The 26,696-nt window shown below is 38.3% G+C and overlaps 1 protein-coding gene across 7 annotated transcripts in view, besides 1 other annotated feature; it reads right to left on the reverse strand.

The window, feature by feature from the left end:
- Positions 10,208-26,696, reverse strand: part of OXCT1 (3-oxoacid CoA-transferase 1) — a 140,361-nt gene continuing 123,872 nt past the window's right edge. For all 7 annotated transcript variants that reach the window (NR_157114.2, NM_001364301.2, NM_001364302.2 and 4 more), the window contains 2 exons: positions 19,533-19,634; positions 10,208-11,913 (listed from right to left, as the gene is read on the reverse strand). Coding sequence is in view for 6 of the 7 variants with exons in the window: in NM_001364301.2 (NP_001351230.1) it covers positions 11,872-11,913; positions 19,533-19,634 (144 nt within the window). In the remaining variant the exon portion in view is untranslated. The remainder of the gene's footprint in view (positions 11,914-19,532; positions 19,635-26,696) is intronic.
- Positions 20,763-20,822: an enhancer, noted in NCBI's record as "active region_22505". NCBI's record gives its function as "activates an Ori minimal core promoter by ATAC-STARR-seq in GM12878 lymphoblastoid cells {active_cell/tissue: GM12878}" and the evidence as "EXISTENCE:reporter gene assay evidence [ECO:0000049][PMID:35858748]".

Below are 26,696 nucleotides of genomic sequence, written 5' to 3' on the forward strand. Positions count from 1 at the left end.
TAGGTTAATGAGAATATACTCGTTTTATTCATATTGCTTGTGCTCACTTGTGCTTTACTTGTGTGTGTGTGATTTAGTTCTGTTTACTTGTATTACATGTGTAGGTTCATATATCCACCACTACAGGTGAAATACAGAACAGTTCCATCACCCCAAGTATCCCTCCTGTGACTCTGTTATAACCACACAAACCTCTTTTCTACTTTCCCTCCCAGATCCCTAACCCCTGACAACATCTGATATGTTCTCTGTTGCTAAAATTTTATCATTTCAAAAATGTTACATAAGTGAAATCATATTGTATATAGCCTTTTGGCACAGGCTTTTTTTCTCAGTGTAATTTCCTGGAAATTCATCCTAGTTGTTGCATATATCAATAGTTTGTTTCTTTTTATTGCTGAGTAGTATTCTATTTAAGGATTTCCCACAGTTTGTTTAACCATTCACCCATTTAAGGATATCTGGGCTGCTCCCAGCTTTTGACTTTCATAAATAAAACTGCTGCTGATATTCTTGTATAGGTTTTTATATCAACATAAGTTCATTTTTCTGGAATAATGCCCAATAGTGCATTCATTGGGCCATACAGTAAACTATATGTTAGTTTTATAAGAAACTGCCAAACTGTTTTCCGGAATGGCTGTATCATTTTACATTCCCTCAGAAATGTATGAGAGATTTAGTGTCTCCATATCTTTACCAACATTTGGTGGTGTCACTGTTTTTATTTTAGTTATTCTGTCAGGTGTGTGGTAGTATCTTAGTATGGCTTAAAGTTGCATTTGCCTGATAGCTAATAATGTTGTTTTTTTTTTCATGCTTTTTGTACTTATTTTCATTCTTCTGGGGTTTGCATTATTAGTGATTAAAATAATAAAAATGAACTTGATTAAAAAAATCCATCCTCATCTTCTCTCTTCCATTGAGATTGTAGTTCCTCTTGACTAAATTTCTAATCCCAACCCCAGGGAATCATCACTAAATTTTCTTATTCAAAACATCACTAAATTTTCCTATTCAAAACTGTAATTATCATAAATATGCTATAATGGATATTGCATTTATATCTTTCTTTTGAAAACCCTTCTAATATGATGAATTTCAAACATACAGTAAAGAAGAGCATAATTAACTTTCATGTACCTGTCACCCCCAGCTTTACCCAAATTTTGCCAATATTACTTCATCGATTTTTCTATAATTGTCATTATCATCATTACTTGACAGAGTATTTTTAAGCAAATCTTCATGTCCGATCATTTCACCCACAAATTAATACTTTTCCTGACAAGGTCAAGTCATGAGATTCCCGAGATTAAGGGACATAAGTTGGTTGTGGAGTAAAGTTTCAACATGCTTTCTATTTTTATTATTAAATTAGTGCTTACAAACTATGACCTATTTGGCAGATGAACTTCTTATGCTGTTTTAGTAATTTTTTAAAACATATTTGCTCTTTTTCTGGACTGGACTTATAGGTTGTATACATATTGGTAGATTGATAGATCTTTTTGTGCTATGGTCTTGTTAAATGAAAAAAAAAATTTCCTTATTAATTGGATAGCCATTATTGAGATAAACAAATGGATGTATTCCAGGTATAGAACAGGTTTGTAAATGATTTTATGTTTTCATTTTTCCCTTCTAACAATATAAAGTAGTTTTATGTTTATGCCAGAGTTAACTTTTATAAATATGTTCGACTTTAACACCAGCTCAGATGTCCTTGGAATATTTCTGCTTCTCCATGATATTACAGATGACAATGAGGTCATTTCACAATTCCTTCTTCTCTGAAAAACACAGCTGGCTCAGTTTGGTTAGCAGCATTCTCATTGCTGCATTTCCTCAGTCACCAGAGTATTTCAATTGACCCCTTCAGGACAGATTGTATCTATGTAATATCCTTCCACGATAAAACATCTATAATCAAATGACTACAACAACCACTGAGTGGTATGGCTTTCACCCTGGGCCAGAATCATTCTATTTCATATCCTTTTAATAACTCTATTATTTCACTGAAACTGTAAAGTTCAGATTTTCTCAAATCAAGCACAAGTGATGTTTGATTTTTGTCCTCTAACCACTTTTACCAGAGTTCTGCCTTGTGGCTGAATTCTTTTTGTAATTTTTCACAGATGTTAAGTTACTTGATCTCCATATTGTTTTGAGGGATTTTTTTTTTTTTTGGTTGGTTGGTTGGTTGGTTTTTATTGTCAAGAGTCACTTTAGCTTTTTACACATGCTTTCACATTTTATTGAAGAACCTGTGGCAAATGTAAGGATGTGCTGAACAGAGGCAAGTAAGAAATATTAATATAACTTCAAGATCCTTTAAAATAACCTCTCATGGCACTCATACTTTTTCTTCATAAAAAGAAAACTCAACACAGTTATAAGTTAACTCTTAAGGGTGATTATGTGATTAAGAGCTATTTCTCTCCACTAGAATCTAAGCTCCATGAGGGTGAGACAATATGCTTTCTTATTGCCATATCCCTAGCATCTAGTACACTGCTGGCTCATAGCAGGTAATTATGTCAGTTAGCATCTTGCTGACTTCTGGCTCCAAATCCAGCTTTCGTTGCTTTGTCCAAGATAATACAGATGAAGCCTGCAAATATGACTTCTTTGCCAACTGGCACTATATTAAGCTTTGTCAATAGAAGGTGCTAGAGAGACACTGGAGGAGGAAGAGCTTTATCCTCCTAGTTCTGGTGTGCTTCTCTTTCCAGGGTCCTGCAGCACACATAGCTTCCCCAGTACCCAACAATCACAGCAAAACTGGCTTTTCCCATTCATGGCTCCTGCAGTATGTGGCAGCCTGTGGGACTCAGCAGCCAGCTACATCCCCCAGCAGGTGTCTGTGCAGTGGAATGCCCCAGATGAGACAGCTCCCTGTTAACAGACTTCCCTAGCACCTCTTCGGGTGGCTTTGTGGCACCAGGAGAAGCATGGCTGCATCTCTGTGACAGCTTCCTGTTGCACCCCAGAGGCAGATTTCGAGAAAGTTCTGTTGGCATAGCATCACATTGACTTCTCTGCCATCCAGTGAGCCACAGCCATGCACTTTTGAACAAGGTCTGGATCTCAGCCCTGGAGGCCTGTTCCTTGGATGCTCTATTTCAACTCAAAGTGTAGTGGTTGCTCCTTATAGCTGTTAATCTCGTGTTGCTTAGAATTTGCTTTACTTCTTACTAGTCAATTATGCATTCCTCCAATTTCCTGTTATAGTTAACAATTCTTTATTTTAAACTTTCCCTGTTCAACTCACCATGTACTTTCTGTCTCCTGATTGGACTCTGACTGATAAGAGTGCTTAATACATATCTCTTAAAAGGAAGAAAGAAAGGAGAGGGGGGAAAGAGATAGTGACAGAGAGAGACCTTAACTATCCCTGGTATCTCTGGGCCAGTTTTGCTTGTTTGCTGTTATTATTTGGAGTTAGAAATTTAAAAAGACAAACTGAATTTTGTCTAAATATGATCCTGTGCCACTGAATTATTTATTAGTTCATATTCTCTTCACTCACTCTTTCACTAAAAATTTATTGAGCATCTATTGTTTGCCAAGCATATACAAATAGGTGTTTTTGGATAATGAGAGAATTAATACGTTTATAAAGAGAATCCAGACTGTAAAGCCAGTAGAAATTTCCTTGAATGCCAGATTTTAGGAATGCTAGATTCCAGAACTGTCTCCAAATTAGACTACCCAACACCTCTCCTCTCTCTCCCTTTCTCTCTCTCCCCCTCAATTCCTACCAGTAAATAAATGAACATCATGGTGTATACCTTAAATATATGCAATAAAATTTAAAATAAATGAATGAATAAATAGGTCATTTAATTCCTGTTTCTTAAAATCTCATTGTCATGAAATGCTGGTTAGTGTCTAAATTAAATTCCACACCCTCTTCTTCTTCTTTCCCTTTGGGCCTGGGCATTCTTTAGTTATAAACAGCAGTTTTCTAAATTCTTGTTAAATCACTCTTTTAACGTCTCTTCTGCAAGTTAAATATTCCATGGCATTTTATTCTTTCTCCATAGTTGTATTATTTTTAATTATTTGTTTTCCTATGCTTTCTCCAATTTGATCACACTCATCCTAAATGGCATTGTTCACTTCAACAATCTCATATGGAGTTTCATACTACTGACTTAATAGAAGTAACTCCTCAGATGCATGGCCTTCTATACTTGCTTATATATTTGAGTATCTATACCATGTTAAATATCTTTAATTACAACATTAAAAATTTTTCTTTTTATTTTTTTTTTTGAGACAGGGTCTCACTTTGTCACCCATGCTGGAGTGCAGTGGTGCAATCTCAGCTCACTGTGGCCTTGACCTCCTGGACTCAAGCGATCCTCCCACCTCAACCCCTCAAGTAGCTGGGACTACAGGTGAGTGTCATCATGCCCAGCTAATTTTTTTGTATTTTTGGTAGAGATGAGGTTTCACCATGTCTTGCCCAACCTGGTTTCAAACTCCTGAGCTCAAGCTATCCACCTGCCTCGGCCTCCCAAAGTGCTGGGATTACAGGCATGAGCCACTGCACCCACCCCAGTATTCAAACTTTTTCACAGATAAACTTTTCTTTTTTTGAGTTGGAGTTTCACTCTTTTTGCCTAGGCTTGAGTGCAATGGCACGATCTCAGCTCACTGCAACCTCTGCCTCCCAGGTTCAAGCGATTCTCCTGCCTTAGCCTCCCAAGTAGCTGGGATTACAGGCATGACCCACGCCCAGCTAATTTTGTATTTTTAGTAGAGATGGGGTTTTGCCATGTTGGTAAGGCTGGTCTCAAACTCCTGACCTCAAGTGATCCACCTGCCTCAGCCTCCCAAAGTGCTGGGATTACAGGCAAAACTTTTATATACCTGAAACAGAAATTGTGTGTATAGAAAAGATGGGTGTGAGAGGAAAAGGTTAGGAGGACACAGAGACAAACCTGGAAGGCAAATCATGATGGAAAGTTTCCATAATGAACACTTGGATTGCTGGGGGAACCATTTTTAAGCACTTATTTACATACACACTAATATAATTACCAACTCTTATTTGTGAAAGAGGTCCTTAGGGATTATTTCCTATGCAATCAGTGCTGTATGTAATAGAATGTAATGACAAGATGTGTCTTTAAAATATTCGTAAATCAAACATTATGCCAATTCAGAAAGGCCTGAGAGGACTCCCTGCAATTCACTGATTTTAGCAAAGATAAACAATTTTCCACATTTTATCACCTCTGAAATTGAGATGCATCTCACAAATGGTGGCACACTACAATTGTCTTGGCACCCTTGGCCTCTGGTTGCACTACTGTTCCAGAGGGGGAGCTGAGGCAGGCACCAGCTCCCCACACCTCCACCCTTCTCCTGACCTGATCCCCACCCTGACCCTGTCCCTTTGACCATTTGACCCCTCTTGTCAGTGATAAACTCCTGGATTGCAAATGCACAGACTTCAAGACTGGTCAATTTTCTTGGGTCATTAACTGCTTGCAATGCCTATCAGCTGCACAAGGCATCCATTAATGACTCTTCTTTGCCTTAAACAGGCAGGGACTAATTGGTGAACTCATCTGGGACTGAGGAGAAGTCTAAAAAATCTTAGTATCTACACAATAAAATTTCTAAGTGATAAGAAAGTAAACAAAATCATAGTGCATTTTAAAATTGATGCTGTCTTAACATTTAAAGAAAATACGATAATAACACTTAAATGTTTCATATAAAGTGTGTCTTGCTGAACCCTAATGCCTTCTTACTCCAACCCCAACCCCAACCCCACTCCACAGGCTCCAGTGCCATGACCAGTTTTCTTCTTTCCATGGATCCTGTCTTTCCTGTTGGAGGAAACTATTAGATCTCACTGAGCATTCCTCTATGTCACCTGTAACATTTACTTTCAGGATACAAATATTGAGATGGAGCAGGGACCCCTCTTTGAGGCCTGATGGGCCCACAGAGCATAGAAATAAAAGAAAACCTGGAGTCCCTTCAAGGAAAATCCCAGGCACCTAGCTATCCTTGAGAAGTGGCTAGCTAGCCTTATGAGCAACCTGTTAAGCAAAAAGGTAAATATAGCTTAAAACAGCCAAAGAAGTGAGAGCAACGAAATATTTGGTTCCCTATAGAAACTCAAGAGAACATCTTTATTTATGCCTCTGAGTTGTTTTTCAGAAACCCAGATCCCCAACACATGGAAAATGCTCTTTGCTGGCACACAGACCTCAGATACTAGGGAACTGAGGGCTGAACTCTGACCAATGTTCCTCATTCTGAATTTCTTCCTGAGGGGCCTGGAGGAAGTCATGCCCACAGGCCAGAGCTTAACACTTTTTTTCTACTGACCCCAAGTTTTTAAGCAAAGCTTAACCAAGGGCAAATCAGAAAATCTTTGAATCCACCTATGACCTATGGGCCCTGCTTCAAGATGTCCTGCCTTTTTAGGCTACACCAATGTACAGCCTCCATGTATTGACTTATGACTTCACCTGTAACCTCTGTCATCTTGTCTTTAAAAACCCTTACATTTAAGCCATTGAAGAGTATGGGTCCTAGGCATGAGCTGCCTAATTCTCCTTGCTTGCTGCCCTGCAATAAATACCTCACGTTTTCTTGCTGCATATCCCAATATCAGTGTTTGGCTTTGCTGTGTCAAGCAGGTAACCCATGTTCAGTTTGGTAACAATCTTAGCTTTATTTCTGGGACTCAACTGAATTAGTCTTAACTACAACTCTGACTTTGAACGTGGGTAAAGGTTAATTGCAAACAAACAATTTCAGAAAGTTGCTCAGCCACAAAGACAAAGCAAAGTGTGTCCGTCCCTCTGGTTGATGTCAGGTGAGCATGCTTACCTACATAGAACCTTTCATGTAAGCACATTGGGTAATTACAAGTCTTCCATGGGGACATTTTGCCTGGTGGGTGGCATCATCGTTTTTACTTGACAACTACCCATTTCCTTATAAACTGGGTTGTGTATAAGAGCTGTGAGGGCAGAGGGAACAAAATTTGAATATTTGTTCCATTAGGTTTAGAGAATTTGGACTCTGTTTTATAGCTTACCAAAGAGCCACAAATCTAGTTCTGTTCAGGGGATTTAATTCACGTCTCATTAACTACCTTGGCAAAATCCAACATTAGCCCTGAAAAGCTAATTTGATTAAAGAACTGACAGACATTACTTCTTTCCAACTAATCAAGTTAATTTTAATGGAGGTAATAATGTCTCCCTGGCAGGTTATTACGAGAATCAAATAAGCTAGCTAGCATATTTTGGGTACTTTATAAATTATCAAGTGTTAAACATGTGACCATCGCAGGTCTCTTTATTCCTGTGTTATGCCCTCCATATTCCACCTCGTTTCTTTTTCTTTTCTTACCTCTTCCTAAGGTCTTACCTAATTATTCAGCTGAGGGAACTCCTCAGCTAAATTTGCTGTTTTCAACCAGCAAATTGATTCAATAAATATTAACGAGCAATTACAGAAACAGTTTGGAGAGTTGAGTACTCCAACCCCAAGAATGCAAAATGGGAGAAGCTACCTTCTATCCCCACATTAAGACAGAGGGTCTTCCAAGGGAACACCAAGGTTTTATATGCCAGCTTCTGGAACTGTCTGATTTCCTCTTAAAAACTTTAAAGGGCAAGAGATAGAATACCTGGTGTTTAGGAGTGAGCCAAAAACAAAAAAATGGCTGTGTTGGGCATCTGGCATCCTGTAGTTTGTCAGCAGAAATAGGTGTGTTTCCAACATACACACTGTGGGCCATGCAAGAGTCAAGGTAGAGTTGCCTGAGGCCCTTTCCAACAGGACCATCCAGAGTGGCTCCCCATGAGGGGTGATAATGACTACAATCAAACATATTTGTTTCCCTAGACAAAGGAATTACCAATTAGTTATCTGGAGTGTTGTAGGCATCATGCTCATGGAAGCTGCTGCGTGATCCACAAGGGGTGTTTGGATGATTTTACACAGATGTGTCTAACTTTATAGAGGCAGGATCTTCAAATATGTCACATAAATGTGCACTCAGATCACATACACTTATTGGTATTTATACTTAAATCCACTTTGATATTCAGTATTGTCTCCAGTGGGAAGGCAGTGTAGTCATTAAATAAAACGACAGGAACAATAAACAATTCTGTCTCCAAGGTAATATGATGGCACAGCATTTTTAAAAGATGTCAGTTTTACAGCCAGATATTTTAATTACATCTTATAGAACCACAGTGGAAAACAGTGTATTCTCCCCTATTTTAAAGATGGAGGATCTAAAAATAAGCTTAAGAAACTCAAGATCACACCCTGAGAAAAGGAAGTCAGTGCCAAAGAAACCCATTTATTGATTAAATTTTTGCTTATACTTCCATTGAAATAACATCCCAAACTTTTGCTGAATATACTGAGATTGGAAGAGAATGAACTTCTACTCATAACCTCCCTACTCACTGTAAATACCCAGAAATGCTCTTGTGTTCTCTGGGACTAGGTACGAGCAGTTTTGCTCATATTCTGCATAACTTCTCTAGGAGACCAGGTCCCTCTCAGAACTCAAGAATTATGGCATGCATGTTGGGTCATGCCTGTAATCCCAGCACTATGGGTGACTGAGGCAGGAAGATCACTTGAGGCCAGGAGTTCCAGGCAAGCGTGGGCAGCATAGTGACACTCCGTTTCTACAAAAAATAAATTAGTCAAGTGTGGTAGTGCATACCTATAGTCTCAGGTACTCAGGAAGCTAAAGTGGAAGAATCACTTGAGCCCAGGAGGCTAAGGCTGCAGTGAGCCGTGATTGTGCCACTGCACTCCAACCTAGGTGACAGAGTGAGACACCGTGGCGAAAAAGAATTACCAAAGCTGTATGATTTCACTGTGCTTACAGGTGACAAAAACTCTGCTCAAGCAAAAAGATTTATGAACTCTATCCAGGCACGGCTGGAGGGAAGTTGGCCTTAGGCACTTCCAGAACCATCTATCCAAATACCACCAGAATGCCCCCACTGACATACTTCCTATACAGCTCCATGTTTTGTGTATCAGTTTCTTTCTCTCCAGCTGGAGCTCAGCTAGGTATGTGCATGTGTGTAGCAGACATGTGGGGTATTGGTGTCAGATTCACATTCTTATGGCTTCATAGCCCGAGAGGAGTAAGAAAGTTGACTTCTCATCTGTTTTTTAAATGTTGGAGAAATAAACTGGTACATCCTTGGTCATATGCACAACTCTGGGTATAACCACTGTCGACCAAGGACAGCTACCGGAAGTAGCAAATCCTGGGGACGTGCCCACCCCTTTGTTACCAGAGGAGCAGCAAAACAGATGCTGAGCAGACTACCACTAGAGCCACTTCAAAATGGAAATAAACTCACAGCACCAGGCAACTAATGTGTACAGTAAAGGAAAATGTTACACAAAAAGTGAACAAGGATTCACACATGAAGCCTTGGATAAATGATTTTTGTAAACATAGCAGCCTCTGACAAGGAGCAAGTTGTGAAACTCAATGTTCACTTGATCTTTCTAGAAGAACAATATCTTTTCTCTGGTAAGATAAAAAGAAAAGCAACAACTTGACTAGAAGTGGTGATGTGCGTATGTTTATTGTGGCACTATTCACAATAGCAAAGACTTGGAACCAACCCAAATGTCCATCAATGATAGACTGGATCAAGAAAATGTGGCACATATACACCATGGAATACTATGCAGCCATAAAAAAGGATGAGTTTATGTCCTTTGTAGGGACATGGATGAAGCTGGAAACCGTCATTCTCAGCAAACTATTGCAAGGACAAACAACCAAACACCGCACGTTCTCACTCATAGGTGGGAACTGAACAATGAGAACCCTTGGACACAGGAAGGGGAACATCACACACCGGGGCCTGTCATGGGGTGGGGGAAGGGGGGAGGGATAGCATTAGAAGATATACCTAATGTAAATGACGAGTTAATGGCACACCATTAGCATGTTGGCACACCAACATGGCACATGTATACATATGTAACAAACTTGCACATTGTGCACATGTACCCTAGAACTTAAAGTATAATTTAAAAAAAAGGAAAAAAAAAAGAAGTGGTGATGTGTGCTGACTTTATTGTTAGCTACCCTGACAATCTGTTGCATTATTCCCACATTTAGCAATGCCATTCCCAAGTGAAATAAAGGACAGTCACACTGATCTACATCACTTTAGAATATTTATTGTATTCCTTAATGCATTTCTTAACATGTATAGCACTCTTCAATCAAGAATATAAAGTCATCTACTTAGAATCACATTATCTTAAAGATGCATACTGGAATGATAAGTTTGAAGATGTAACTATCAACAATTCTTTTCAAAATCATATCAATATATTACTCTCATGGAACTTGCACATTCTAAGAAGGGTCATTTTTTCCCCCCAGTACTGGGAAGGTATGCATTTAACCATGTGGTCAGCCAGAAAGGCTGTTTTATATATGGTGTGTGTTACTCATAAAAAGCCTGTCCTTTCTCTAATATTGTACATTACACAATTGTAGCTACACCTGAAAAGAAGTGAGTTTCAATGACCATCATCACCTAAAAACATGAATAAGTTTGTATATTTAGGACCAGAGGAATGATATATCGTACTGTACTATGCCTACCTCTGTCCAGAGGCCAGCTGTCTCACCTGTTCTTCAGGGTGCCTAGACTTTTTACCCATCTATTATCCGGGATGCTTCTGAAGTCATTCCCATGGGCCCCTGTCAGGTATTGAGAATAAATACCTCTAAGGAAGTTTTTTTCAAACCTAATCTACCCACCATGTTTATTCCCTGACACTAAAAGTTCACTGACTCTTCAAATCCTAGACTTGTCCAACATTATTTTCCCTAGTTGGATAAGGCTGAATTAAAGGCACTTCGTTAAAGGAAGTAGCCTTGGCAGAAGAAAAACCGTTGTTCTGTAGAAGTGTCATTCAATATTTAAAATCTCCTCTGAACCAAAACAAGAGCCTGAAAGTAAAACACCTTTTATTTTTTAACTCTGCTGTCATTGCTACTAAGGATTCATGGTAAATTATCCCACAGCCCTTCTTGGCTTGAGAGGAGGTACAGTACAAGTAGCCCACAGGGTCTCAATAACAGAAGTATTCTCAAGGACCCTTGAGGATACAAAGGAATACTGGGCTGTTTTAAAATGAGAAAACTGAGAAGAATCAGTTAGGTTTCTAGCCCTCTTCCTATAATACGCCTTAGTCTTTGCAAAGCATAGATAGATAGTTGGTTTGAACTAGTTATTTCTCCCTGCCCTCCCCCACAAGAGGCATTCCTGCTTGCCTTCTTGGGCATCTGTTTAAAAGCAGTATGGGAGGAAGGGGGATGTTCTAGGGGGACAAGATGTAATCATAAAATCTGAAGCCCCAAAAGAAAAGTCAGAGGAGGCTGAAGAAAAAACAATCATGACAGCAACTCTCCTAACCACAAAAATCACATATGTTATCTTTCTTTCAGGACTAATAATTAATATTTAAGAGGAAAGCCACATCAATTTCTAGGGCCCTTCTTGGGGAAAGGTTCATATAATTTAGCATACATACCATATTCAGTGAAAATGCATTCAATATAATTACCTATTATAAAAACAACCTTCTCAGCCTTAACAAATGAGATAATTATAAATGCTCCTTTTGCTTTTTATTAAAATGTCACAGCATGCCTAGAGAACAGTTTATATGGCTGCATAAAGTCTGAAACACAAGAAAACTAATAAAAAACCACCTGTTAAATACACAATTATGATTATTGATGTCCTTTCAATTAAATCTTGTGTGTTTAAAATGAAAAACACGCAGCCTGGTACAAATATCCATATTTCAATTTGCGATCTGCTGCATTGGCATGAGTTTTGGTGAAACCTGGTAAAAGAGGAAAAAAAAATCAAATTATGAAAAACTGCATGATATAAATCTCTCTCCTTTTAATTTCCAAATTTCAATCATGTAGGCAACAAGCAGCCTTGCCATGGACATTCCCTGGAGTTTCCATATGATTTTCCATCCTGAAACATTGAGACAGAACAGTTCTGTTTACATTTTGGGTATTTTGTAGTTCTCAACCTTCTTGTATTAGCTCCTAAATTAAGGATGAACAAGGCTGGCAACAAGGAGCAGGTGGAAGAGGAGCAGAGGAAAACAAAGGATCCCAATAACCAAGCCCCCTGTCAGATGGATCACTGATCTCCGAGACTGATGCCTCTGAGACTTCACTTAAGACGCAGTACAAACCCCAAGTCTCCAAAACCTCAAAATAGATCCAGCCAATTCATAATTTTGTTGAAAGATGCTTTATGTAATCTTTGGATTACCTAAATACATATTAATGAAGAGACGTATGATCAATGATAAATCTTATCGGAAATTTCATAATCAGAATAGAAATGATACAAAGGCAATAAGAGGATTCCAAGTTATTAAAATATGGAAGTAATAGCATTAAAACAATTAAATGTTGATTATAATTATGTTCAGTGTATAAAACAGTCAATGCTTTCCTGCGAATCTGCAAGCAGAGAAAAGTGACAATGAATGTATATTTAAGGTAGAGCCGGTTGCAGGAGAACCATAAATATAAGTGGTCAGTTTAACTGAGACAGATTTTTCAAAGTGTGGTACCAGGTTCAGATTCCTTAATTCAACATGGCAAATATTGATTGGGTTCTAGTTAGTAACAGTCCCCATGGGAAGCAGGAAATACCAAAAATTGGGTGCTTTTTGAAATTCTGAAAGATGTGGCAATCAAAATGAGCCCAATTAGCATTTTACCTTCCAGAATAAACAATATTTTCTTAAATTGATAAATGAACAAATGAATGAATAAGTAGATAATTATATAAGTTTCAAAGAACTAGAAGGGAGGTTCCTAATAGAGGTTAAATCATCAGTATTAAAAACTGAAAGAACAGGCAGTCATTTGGCTTTCATAAGGTTAAATAGTTTTAGTTCATTTATAAATGTCTGCATTAGCTCTTCACAATTAACTCTTCATAGTATCAAGAGTTAATGTCTTGTCTTCCATTTTTGTACTAAAATATTAAACCAGAATGGCAAAAATGTCTACTAAAAGAATAAATAAGAATAAACAATAATAATAAAGTTCAGCATGATTTGGTATATAGCTTATGGTAAATGAGAACGCATTATGACTTATTTCTAAGAGTAGACATACAGACAAAATAAACAGAATAAGTAGACAAAAAGTAACATCACACATACGCACAGATTTTCAACTCTACTAATAATAACATTTAGTATTTAGATAAGTATATCTCACAGTTCATTTTCTTTCTTTTTTTTAAACAACAGAGCATCTGTGGAAATAATTTAGTGAAACTTTTTTTTTTTTTTTTTTTGAGACGGAGTTTTGCTCTTGTTGCCCAGGCTGGAGTGCAATGGCGCGATCTTGGCTCACCGCAACCTCCGCCTCCTGGGTTCAAGCGATTCTCCTGCCTTAGCCTCCCAAGTAGCTGGGATTACAGGCATGTGCCACCATGACCAGCTAATTTTTGTATATTTAGTAGAGACGGGGTTTCTCCATGTTGGTAAGGCTGGTCTTGAACTCCCGACCTCAGGTGATCCACCTGCCTCAGCCTCCCAAAGTGCTGGGATTACAGGCGTAAGCCACCGTGCCTGGCCCAATTTAGTGAAACTTTTTTACTACAAATCATTTTCTATAGATGCTTCATAGCACTTCCTTTAAAAAGAAACTGGACACATTAATTTTTTTAACTAAACATCTGATCCTTTTCCTTGTCATGTCAGCCCTATTTTGAGCTCTTAATGTCATTTACATTCTCAATGTGAAAAATGACATCAAAAATAAGATAACGCTTTATATAGACTGACTTTGCCTGCTTTTTAATGAAAAACATCTACTAAACCACCATTTCTCATTCTGTTCTCCCAGTCTCATCAACGTTGTAAATTCATGCAAGCCAAAGGAGCTTATTCTGCCAACGTGATCTGCAGGCTAAGCACAAGGTGACATGATTTAGCTATAGAAGACAAGCCAATGATTTGTCTTCCCAGTGCATTAATATCCCAAAAGTATATTGCTTGACTCTGGTAGAATGCCAGTTCATAGTAGATACTGAGAGTATAAATTTATTCAATTAGGCAAGGAATGTCTGCAGCTTCTTTCAGATTCCACTGCAAACATATCAACAAACATTGCTTTTACTAGTTTTTTATTTGTTTGTTTGTTTTGCCACTGGTGGTTTAGGTATATTCCTGCCTGGAGAATAAAGCCAAGGCTCTTGGGAGCAAGAACCATAAATTGGTTCTATTTTATTCATATTTTACAGCTCAATATGGAACATACATTGGGTGTATGACTAGTGACATCTGGAAGTTTATTCTAACACATAATGTTTAAATATGGAATACATTTTTAATTTTTTAAGTTAAGAAGATAAAATCAAAGAAATATTGTTTCAAAAGAGGTCCACAGACATATGGTTTATAAAAACACCTATTTTACATAGCTTAAGCATTCATCAGAAAAGAAACAACCCAAATAACCAATTGAAAGCCGTTATTTTCAATGGCAAAACCATTTATTAAACCACAATTACTTTTGCATCAACCTAATACTTTCGCCCATCAAGTAACTGGCATACTGCATGCTGTTAAGTATAGCCAAAAAATAAAGAAATTTGACATACTCATTAGCTTGTCAAGCTTTAATACGACATCATTTTGATTCTTTAAATATTTGAGAGACAGACTTCTTTCAAAATCTGAGGACAATGGGAGAAAAATAAGCCAAAGGATTCCTTAGTTGTGAAAATGTTGGGCCCTAGTAGCATAAAAGACAGACAGAAGACTATATCGAACTTAAAAACTTCCATGTGTCAAAGAAAACAGTGAAAAAGCAACCTATGAAATGGAAAAGAACATTCAAAAATCATCTGATAAGAGATTAGCATCCAGAATATATGAGAAACTTTGAGAACATCACCAGATAAATGCAAATCAAAACCACAATGAGATATCACCTCACAGCCATTAGAATGGCCACTATTAAACAGAAGATAACTGTTGGCAAAGATATGGAGAAATTAGAACCCCTGTGCACCAACAGTGGGAATGTAAAACGGGGCAAACATTGTGAAACAGTATGGCAGTTCCACAAAAAATTAAAAATAGAATTATCATATGATCCAGCAATCCAAATTCTGAATTATATATCTAAAAAATTTCAAAGCAGAATGTCAAAGAGATATTTGCACATCCATGTTCTTTGCAGCACTATTCACAGTAGCCAAGTGGTGGAAGCAACCCAAATGTCTACCAACAGATGAGTGGGTCATGAAAGTGTGGTATATATGCACAATGAAATATTATACAGCCTTAAAAAGAAGATAATCCTGTCATACATGCTACAACACAGATGAACCCTGAATACATTATGCTAAGCAAAATAAGCCAGTCACAAAAGGGCAAATACTGTATAACTCCACTCATATGAGGTATCTAGAATAGTCAAAATGATAGAAACAGAAAGCAAAAACAGTGGTTGCCAAAGGCTGTGGAATTAGTGTTTAATGAGTAGTTTCAGAGCTGCAAGTTATAAAAGTTCTAGAGATCTGTTGTATAACAATGTGAATACACTTAATATTACTGCATTGTACACTTAAACATGGTTAAGATGGTAAATTTTTTTAAAGTTTTTACCAGTTATTTAAAAATAGGAAAGCATTACTGAACAGCATCACAAGCATTTGTAGAGCATGAACATACATACAAGGCTCTACCAATAGCGCTGGGGACAGGGGAGCCTTTATTCCCCACTTCTCATATTCCATTCCATGTGGAAGGACACCTATCTATTCATGTAACTACCCTGACCTCCGGTGTGTCCCTTATTGATGTAATTAAATGATTATTTGGGCAGAGGAACCTTAACATGTGAAACTCAGCATGACTCTTCCTCTTCATTGAGGTCTTCACCTAGAAAGCAATGCTCTGTTTTGCTCTCAGCCATGTGGATGGAAGCTCAGCAATGAAGGCTACCCTTGTGGGAGGCCTGGGTTTCTCTGGTGCTGCCTACACTGGGGAGCCAAAGCCTCTGTATCTGTGGGGTTCACAACTGAAAAGCCTGCTGTGGCTGTACACCTAGGCCACATCCCTCACTCTAGCCTGTATAATAGTAATACTTTTACCTCTACCTGTTCAGCTCCTTTCTCTCAAGGGATTCAGCACTCAATCCCCAAGAAACAGCAAAGTCCCTATCGTCATAGCATCTACATTTTAAGGGAGAGTAATCATATGGTTGGCTTCTCTAGCTGTAAACAGCTCCTGACCAGAATCTTATTTTGGGTGTGTGAACCTTCAGGTTCCAGAAATATAATCAATATTTGCATTTCTACAACAAAATTTCCACAGCCTCTACCAAGTTCCAGACATATATGACCTTCAAGATACTGCCCTCCGATGGAAAACTCCAACTTTCAGTTGATACAAAATCATGAACAAAACTGTGACAGTCATTACAGGTTTTTTAAAGTTATGTTTCATGTGATTAAAAATCATATTTTTTCCACTTTTTTATTATGGCTAATAACACTATGATATATATGAAAAAGTCTTAGTAATTCTTTTTTTTAACAGTGCCCAAATATTTCACTATCATTCTTTTTTGATATCCTAAAACCAAAATTTTGTCACGTCCTGTTATCTGATGCTGTCATATTTAGTCTTTTACTTTGGAATTCCCAGTATTTTCCCAACCAGCTAATATCCACATAATGTAGCTTTTGCCCATTCACTTGCCCATATCCTTAGGGATACAGGACTTTTACCAACACATTTTAAATTGTTTTGCACTAGGATTTTACCTTTTTTTCTTTATGAGGCAACACTGGCCAATCATTCCCTTCTAGAATGTTGACTGCCAGTTGAAGGCTGAGTTCTAGGGACTTTTCTCAAACAGAACTTGAGCAACTAGTGTATAGTCACATATGGAGTACAATGCTAGCTATGCAGTGATAACCACAGGGAATATTTTCTAAATTAGGACATGGAATGTCTTCTGAATTGTCAAGAAAGAAATGCTATCTTCAATGTACTTTTGTAATTAAATGTATCCTTATTGATAATCCAGGTATTAAGTAGAACATTTTATTAATTAGGGCACTCCAGCTCTAGCCTTACAGAAAACAACCTGTTATATGTGATTTCATCTGTCAGAGTGTAAAGAGATGCCATTGATCGTCAGATGCTCAAAAGCTAGTCCTCTGGATGGTTCCATTGATACCATACCTTTTCATTCTCAGGACAACATTGACATACAAATTAACATTTCATCTCAACATCCTAATTTGGAGAAAACAAGATTACATATCCCTGTGAAAAGAAGAGATGGTACTGAAATTGAGAGGGTCTACAGAGATATTTTCCATTGGAACAGCACCTTTTATTGGAAAACAAAGCAAGAACAGTAAAAACTCATATTTTCATTCCTTATTTACCCACATGAATAAAAAAAGAACTAGATAACCAGGTCTTCCTTTGTACATTCTCTTTTGCTGCAAAAAAAAACTGAACATTCTGTGGATCTTGAAAATGTTATCTGATGAAGAGGTTAATTCTTCCACATAGAAAAAAATAATACAGATTGTTTGCTTTTCTCACTGGAGTGAGAAATCCTAAATAGTTAAAGTATAAGCATATCCTTCCCCTTGAGGTTATTGAAAGGCTAATTAAAGATGTGCTTTTCATGAAAGGTATTACTGGGAGACTTCTTTTTCCAAAGGGACATTCAAAAAAAGTTAATAGACAAAGACCTTGGTAGAGTACCAGGAACAGTTATTATATGGATAATGAACTATGAAACAAAAATCGTTTTTAGAGAAATGTGTAGGCCGGGCACGGTGGCTCACGCCTGTAATCCCAGCACTTTGGGAGGCCGAGGCGGGCAGATCACAAGGTCAGGAGATCGAGACCATCCTGGCTAGCACGGTGAAACCCCATCTCTACTAAAAATACAAAAAATTAGCCGGGCGTGGCGGCATGTGCCTGTAGTCCCAGCTGCTGGGGAGGCTGAGGCAGGAGAATGGTGTGAACCTGGGAGGCGGAGCTTGCAATGAGCCAAGATCGCGCCACTGCACTCCAGCCTGGGCAACAGAACAAGACTCCGTCTTAAAAAAAAAATGTGTTATGCACTGATAGGTACAAGCAAAGCATGTAGTACACAAGAAAGACATACATACAATATATGTATGACTTATCAAATAACTTTTGTTAAATTAGTTTCTCCAAGATGTGTAGCTGTAACATTAACATATTTTCTTCTCATTATAAATATATTTCATTTTAATTAGATTGGTTCTTAAATAGGTATGAGAATAATATCCCTTTCTGATATGGTTTGGCTGTGTCCCCACCCAAATCTCATCTTGATTTGGAGCTCCCATAATCCCCTTGTGTCACGGGAGGGACCTGGTGGGAGGTAACTGAATCATGGGGGTGGGTTTTTCACATGCTGTTCTTGTGATAGTGAGTAAGTCTTTGATCTGATGGTTTTATAAAGGGCAGTTTCCCTGCACACACTCTCTTGCTTGCTGCCACATAAGACGTGCCTTTGCTTCTCCTTCACCTTCTGCCATGATTGTGAGGCCTCCCCAGCCATGTGGACCTGAGTCCATCAAACCTCTTTTTCTCTATAAACTACCCAATCTTATGCTGTCTTTGTTAGCTCTGTGAGAATGGACTAATACACTTTCCTTCATTTCTTCAGAGACATTTTAGTTTTACTTTTGGTTAACTTCAAATAGACTGAGCCATGCTTTCAATGCCATTAGCTAGGTGATTGATTTATGAATAAGCACTTATATTAAAGAGCAATTATTTATATTCTCAGTAATATTCTGTTTTAAAAAGGGATTTGGAGGTTTCTTAAACGGATACTCCCCTGACGTATTTATCTGCTTTGTAAGTCTGTTTTATGTACTTATCTTCAAATACAGGGCATGTCTGTTTTGTGATGACTAACCTGGTGATGTCAGAGGCCCAACATTTTAATATTTTCAACGGATGAAATATGGCATAGAATTTAGAGAAAGTCATAAGTCATAGATGGGTTTAAAAATAAGGAAGTATCATTTCTCCATATGTGGCTAACATTTTTCAGTTAATCAAGTTCAAGCACAGCTGCCATATAACCAAAGAACAGGGGATTACAAGGGCCTTCAAAACATAAAGTAGCTTAGAGCTCAAGCTCAACCTTGTTTCTAGCAGCTCCTGGTGGTGTGTCCCCTTCCTGCTTCTGAGTCCTAAGCCAAACCTTGGCCAGTGAGTCAGAGCACAGCTCTGTTCCCACCTGCTCTCATCTAGAGGCACCCTTCCTTCTACTCCTGTTCACTGTAAAGGTCAACTCCAAAAATGATCACAAATTAATGGTTCATGTCCTGCAAACACCCATTAATCAAGCCTATAATATAAGACAAGTGTCTGGATTTGTTCACAGAAATACTTACTGCAAAATCACACCCAGTACTCTTCTGTACGTCATCCACTGTCAGGCCTTCCCAGAGCTCAATCAGAGTCAACCCTTTCTTCTTGTCCACATCAAACACAGCCTGTCAGAGTGGGAAGAAAAAGGACAATGACAATTTCCATCAAAATAATTATTATATGGCACAAAACAGAAATAACCTCGCAAGTTCGACGAGGTCGGGTGTGGTGGCTCAGGCCTATAATCCCAGCATTTTGGTAGGCTTAGGTGGGTGGATCACAAGGTCAGGAGATCGAGACCATCCTGGCTAACACGGTGAAACCCCGTCTCTACTAAAAATACAAAAAAAAAAAATTAGCTGGGCATGGTGGCAGGCACCTGTAGTCCCAGCTACTTGGGAGGCTGAGGCAGGAGAATGGCGTGAACCCGAGAGGCGGAGCTTGCAGTGAGCCGAGATCACGCCACTGCACTCCAGCCTGGACGACAGAGCCAGACTCTGTCTCAAAAAAAAAAAAAAAAGGAAACACAAGACCCAGGACAAAAGAAAAATCAGCAGTGAAAAAATGTCAACTGTAACTATGATATTTTGGTGAGGATAAATGCCAACTCCCTAATCAGCAATTAGTTGTGGAACAGTGTTGATGCCAGAAAATAAATGAGCATTGACCATGGATGGCATTTGTTACTACTGCAACCAGTTTTTTAAAAACTACCTCCCTTTTGTTAAGTCTAACACTTTTGGTCAAAGGTCAATTAGTGATTAATAATGATTTGAACAAAGAAAGGAATGAAGAAAGAGGGAGAGAGAAAGGGAATATTTGGAAGGTGAAAGCACATGAATGACAGGAAAAAAGTTTATAAATGATATTGGGTAAAGAATTACAGGAAACAGAAGAAGGTGCTCTGAAGTGTCTAGGAGTAATTATAAGAGGATAGCTACCCTGGTCCTGAAAGACATGCAAGTAACTGTTTAAAATATTCTCCTTAAGTCCTGTAAAACATATAGTCTCAAAAAGAGAGCATGGGAATCTCCCTTTGCTATGCAAATCAAATGAAGATGCTTATATTTAGGGCAAGCACCAGAAAGCCAATCTTACCTGAAACATTCCATCATTCTGGTCTGTAACATCAGGTGTTGGTAGTGCCAATTGGTATGGCTTGACCTCAGCAGATAGACCCCACCTGTTGTATCTGATTTAGAACACATGCTTTCACACTTAGAAATATAACTCAAGTGGAAGTGACCTACGAGGTCACTTAATATAACCTTCCACCCAAGAATTCTTCAAAACATTCTTCTCAGATAGTCAATGAGGTTCTGCTTAGATACTTGCAGTGGCAGGAGGCTCACTTATTTCAAGGCAGATTGTTTACTGAAGGGAAGCTCAAACCTTAAGAGCTAAAACTGCTTCTCCTATGGCTTTAGCTCCATGCTATAGTTACCCTCCAGCATATTAAGCACTGTACCCTCTTTCAGTTCTCATGGTTAGTTTCCTCTTTCTCAGACTAAAATGTTATGCATCCCAGAGCTTTCCTCTCCTCTACAGTTAACCTAAATTCAACTATTATTTGCAGGCCTAGAATCTTTTTTTTTTTTTTTTGAGACAGAGTCTCACTCTGTCACCCAGGCTGGAGTGCAATGGCCCGATCTCTGCTCACTGCAACCTCTGCCTCCAGGGTTCAAGTGATTCTCTTGCCTCAGCCTCCTGAGTAGCTGGGATTACAGGCATGCCCCACCACATCCAGCTAATTTTTTGTATTTTTAGTAGAGATGAGGTTTTACCATGTTGGTCAGGCTGGTCTCAAATTCCTGACCTCAGGTGATCCACCTGCCTGCCTCGGCCTCCTTTGGGATGCAAGGATTACAGGAGTGAGCCACCGCTTAACCAATTTTTCAATTGGCTTGGAAGTCAAACCTTGAATTGTCATTTTTGAATACACTCCTAACTAGGAGGGTAATATCAAGACACAGCAACACGTAGAGAAAAGAACCCTGGCCTTTGAGCTCAGTGAGAATTCCACTCTGCTGCACAACTGTTATGCAACCTTTAGTGAACCTGTCTTTGCATCTGTAGACATATATAATAAAAATGTACTTCCCAAGATTGTGATACAGGACAAATATAAGAAAACATACTCTGAGCACCATCCCTGAGACAGTGGGGGCAGCATACAAGCAGTTTTTTCACTTTTCACTCCTTAGTAGCTTAACATCTCACTTATATGTGATGCCAGATCAAAGCCCTGGAATGATTATTGACTCCAGCTGATTAATATTTTTCCCCAGAAACACACATCGCTGGGACCAGTGATAACTGCATTATTGGTTTGTCTGAAGAATTCACAGATAACCTGGTTGACATTACTGGAAAAGAGGGTTGAAATGTAAGACAAAATATTTCAGTAAACTTTCCTTTTGCTTGTACATTTTATGTTCCAAAAAAGTTTTTTGGCAGAAATGTGTGTTTCAAGAGGAAAAAAATAAATGGATAATTTAGGAATGTTTGTATACTCATTAGCTTGCTTCATTCCAAAATGACAATTAAATTTTTTTAAAATGAACACTTTCTTTGCAGAAAATGTATCTGGAGCACTATTCATATGATTTGCTTTTTCTTGCATTCTGAACAACTGTCAATTTATAAAAGAACAAATAAGAAAAAAAGAGCATCTGGATTAAGTTATTAAGAACAGGCATGGAAATGATTTAGAGAGAAGATAACTGTGGTATCAAAAATTTAAGGCTTCAGTAATCAGGGAGAGTAAATCTATGGCAAATTGACATTGCTTTTAAAAAAACCTTATTAACACATTTATCAAATCTTAATTAGATATATTAGAAAACCAAGTATCTATAATTTAAAAAAGGAAACTTACTTTTGAAATATTTAGGAAACTTTCCATTTAGTGATATAAGGTGCAAACAAAAAATTGACAAAAATGGAGACTAAAACCTAAAAGTCACAATAAATTGTTCAACTATCCAGAATACTGAAAGTACTTTGTCTAAGAGATAAATGTTAATTACTTTATCACCGTGACAAAAGCTTACATTATGGGTAACAGTGAATCACAGCCCAGGTGCTGGTGAGGAATGCATCTTTCTTTTATTTTACTTTATTTTTTTATTACACTTTAAGTTTTAGGGTACACGTGCACAACGTGCAGGTTTGTTACATATGTATGCATGTGCCATGTTGGTGTGCTGCACCCATTAACTCTTCATTTAACATTAGGTATATCTCCTAATGCTATCCCTTCCCCTGCCCCCCACCCCACAACAGGCCCCAGTGTGTGATGTTCCCCACCCTGTGTCCAAGTGTTCTCATTGTTCAATTCTCACCTATGAGAACATGCAGTGTTTGGTTTTCTGTCCTTGTGACAGTTTGATCAGAATGATGGTGTCCAGCTTCATCCATATCCCTACAAAGGACATGAACTCATCCTTTTTTATGGCTGCATAGTATTCCATGGTGTATATGTGCCGCATTTTCTTAATCCAGTCTATCATTGATGGGCATTTGGGTTGGTTCCAAGTCTTTGCTATTGTGAATAGTGCCACAATAAACATACATGTGCATGTGTCTTTATAGCAGCATGATTTATAATCCTTTGGGTATATACACAGTAATGGGATGGCTGGGTCAAATGGTATTTCTAATTCTAGATCCTTGAGGAATCACCACACTGTCTTCCACAATGGCTGAACTAGTTTACGGTCCCACCAACAGTGTAAAAGTGTTCTTATTTCTCCACATCCTCTCCAGCACCTGTTGTTTCCTGACTTTTTAATGATTGCCATTCTAACTGGTGTGAGATGGTATCTCATTGTGGCTTTGATTTGCATTTCTCTGATGGCCAGTGATGATGAGCATTTTTTCATGTGTCTGTTGGCTGCATAAATGTCTTCTTTTGAGAAGTGTCTGTTCATATCCTTTACCCACTTTTTGATGGGGTTGTTTGATTTTTTCTTGTAAATTTGTTTGGGTTCTTTGTAGATTCTGGATATTAGCCCTTTGTCAGATGGGTAGATTGTAAAAATTTTCTCCCATTCTGTAGGTTGCCTGTTCACTCTGATGGTAGTTTCTTTTGCTGTGCAGAAACTCTTTAGTTTAATTAGATCCCATTTGTCAATTTTGGCTTTTGTTGCCATTGCTTTTGGTGTTTTACACATGAAGTCCTCGCCCATGCCTATGTCCTGAATGGTGTTGCCTAGGTTTTCTTCTAGGGTTTTTATGGTTTTAGGTCTAACATTTAACTCTTTAATCCATCTTGAATTAATTTTTGTATAAGGTGCAAGGAAGGGATCCAGTTTCAGCTTTCTACATATGGCTAGCCAGTTTTCCCAGCACCATTTATTAAATAGGGAATCCTTTCCCCATTGCTTGTTTTTGTCAGGTTTGTCAAAGATCAGATAGTTGTACATATGTGGCATTATTTCTGAGGGCTCTGTTCTGTTCCATTGGTCTATATCTCTGTTTTGGTACCAGTACCATGCTGTTTTGGTTACTGTAGCCTTGTAGTATAGTTTGAAGTCAGGTAGCCTGATGCCTCCAGCTTTGTTCTTTTAGCTTAGTATTGACTTGGAAATGCGAGCTCTTTTTTGGTTCCATATGAACTTTAAAGTAGTTTGTTCCAATGCTGTGAAGAAAGTCATTGGTAGCTTGATGGGGATAGCATTGAATCTATAAATTACCTTGGGCAGTATGGCCATTTTCACGATACTGATTCTTCCTACCCATGAGCATGGAATGTTCTTCCATTTGTTTGTATCCTCTTCTATTTCATTGAGCAGTGGTTTGAAGAGGTCCTTCAGGTCCCTTGTAAGTTGGATTCCTAGGTATTTTATTCTCTTTGAAGCAATTGTGAATGGGAGTTCACTCATGATTTGGCTCTCTGTTTGTTATTGGTGTATAAGAATGCTTGTGATTTCTGCACATTCATTTTGTATCCTGAGACTTTGCTGAAGTTGCTTATCAGCTTAAGGAGATTTTGGGCTGAGATGATAGGGTTTTCTAGATATACAATCATGTCATCTGCAAACAGGGACAATTTGACTTCCTCTTTTCCTAATTGAATACCCTTTGTTTCCTTCTCCTGCCTGATTGCCCTGGCCAGAACTTCCAACACTATGTTGAATAGGAGTGGTGAGAGAAAGCATCCCTGTCTTGTGCCAGTTTTCAAAGGGGATGCTTCTAGTTTTTGCCCATTCAGTATGATATTGGCTGTGGGTTTGTCATAGATAGCTCTTATTATTTTGAGATACGTCCCATCAATACCTAATTTATTGAGAGTTTTTAGCATGAAGTGTTGTCGAATTTTGTCAAAGGCCTTTTCTGCATCTATTGAGATAATCATGCGGTTTTTGTCATTGGTTCTGACAAAAAAAGGCAGGGGTTGCAATCCTAGTCTCTGATAAAACAGACTTTAAGCCAACAAAGATCAAAAGAGACAAAGAAGGCCATTACATAATGGTAAAGGGATCAATTCAACAAGAAGAGCTAACTATCCTAAATATATATGCACCCAATACAGGAGCACCCAGTCCTTAGAGACCTACAAAGAGACTTAGACTGCCACACAATAATAATGGGACATTCCACTGTCAACATTAGACACATCAACGAGACAGAAAGGTAACAACGCTATCCAGGAACTGAACTCAACTCTGCACCAAGCGGACCTAATAGATACTACAGAACTCTCCACCCCAAATCAACAGAATATACATTATTTTCAGCACCACACCACACCTATTCCAAAACTGATCACATAGTTGGAAGTAAAGCACTCCTCAGCAAATGTAAAAAAAAAACAAATTATAACAAACTGTCTCTCAGACCACAGTGCAATCAAACTAGAACTCAGGATTAAGAAACTCACTCAAAACCACTCAACTACATGGAAACTGAACAACCTGCTCCTGAATGACTACTGGGTACATAACGAAATGAAGGCAGAAATAAAGATGTTCTTTGAAACCAATGAGAACAAAGACACAACATACCAGAATCTCTGGGACACATTCAAAGCAGTGTGTAGAGGGAAATTTATAGCACTAAATGCCCACAAGAGAAAGCAGGAAAGATCTAAAATTGACATCCTAACATCACGATTAAAAGAACTAGAGAAGCAAGAGCAAACACATTCAAAAGCTAGCAGAAGGCAAGAAATAACTAAGATCAGAGCAGAACTGAAGGAAATAGACACAAAAAACCCTTCAAAAAATCAGTGAATCCAGGAGCTGGTTTTTTGAAAAGATCAACAAAATTGATAGACCGCTAGCAAGACTAATAAAGAAGGAAAGAGAGAAGAATCAAATAGACGCAATAAAAAATGATAAAGGGGATATCACCACCGATCCCACAGAAATACAAACTACCATCAGAGAATACTATAAACACCTCTACGCAAATAAACTAGAAAGTCTAGAAGAAATGGATAAATTCCTCGACACATACACCCTCCCAAGACTAAACCAGGAAGAAGTTGAATCTCTGAATAGACCAATAACAGGCTCTGAAATTGAGGCAATAATTAATGGCTTACCAACCAAAAAACGTCCAGGACCAGATGGATTCACAGCCGAATTCTACCAGAGGTACAAAGAGGAGCTGGTACCATTCCTTCCAAAACTACTCGAATCAATAGAAAAAGAAGGAATCCTCCCTAACTCATTTTATGAGGCCAGCATTATCCTGACACCAAAGCCTGGCAGAGACACAACAAAAAAAGAGAATTTTAGACCAACATCCCTGATGAACATCGATGCAAAAAATCCTCAATAAAATACTGGCAAACCGAATCCAGCAGCACATCAAAAAGCTTATCCACCATGATCAAGTGGGCTTCATCCCTGGGATGCAAGCCTGGTTCAACATATGCAAATCAATAAATGTAATCCAGCATATAAACAGAACCAAGGAACGCATCTTTCATTACCTCATTCCAGCAGGTCAAAACTAGGAAATCAGGGTCATAGCATCCTCCAAATTCTCTTTCAAAGGGCAACTGAATGGAATTTTCTCTGGATCTGATAATGGCATTCTAGTCCACTGTTAGTGAGGGCTGGAGACCTTCATTGCTCTTAATGGCACTGCATTCTCATTACTCATTCAACAAGTATTTATTGAGCACCTACTATGCACAGAGCATAGCGATAAACACACAACCTTCCTTTCTTTAA

Source organism: Homo sapiens, chromosome 5 (genome assembly GCF_000001405.40).
Source record: "Homo sapiens chromosome 5, GRCh38.p14 Primary Assembly".
Classification (NCBI taxonomy): Eukaryota; Metazoa; Chordata; class Mammalia; order Primates; family Hominidae; genus Homo; species Homo sapiens.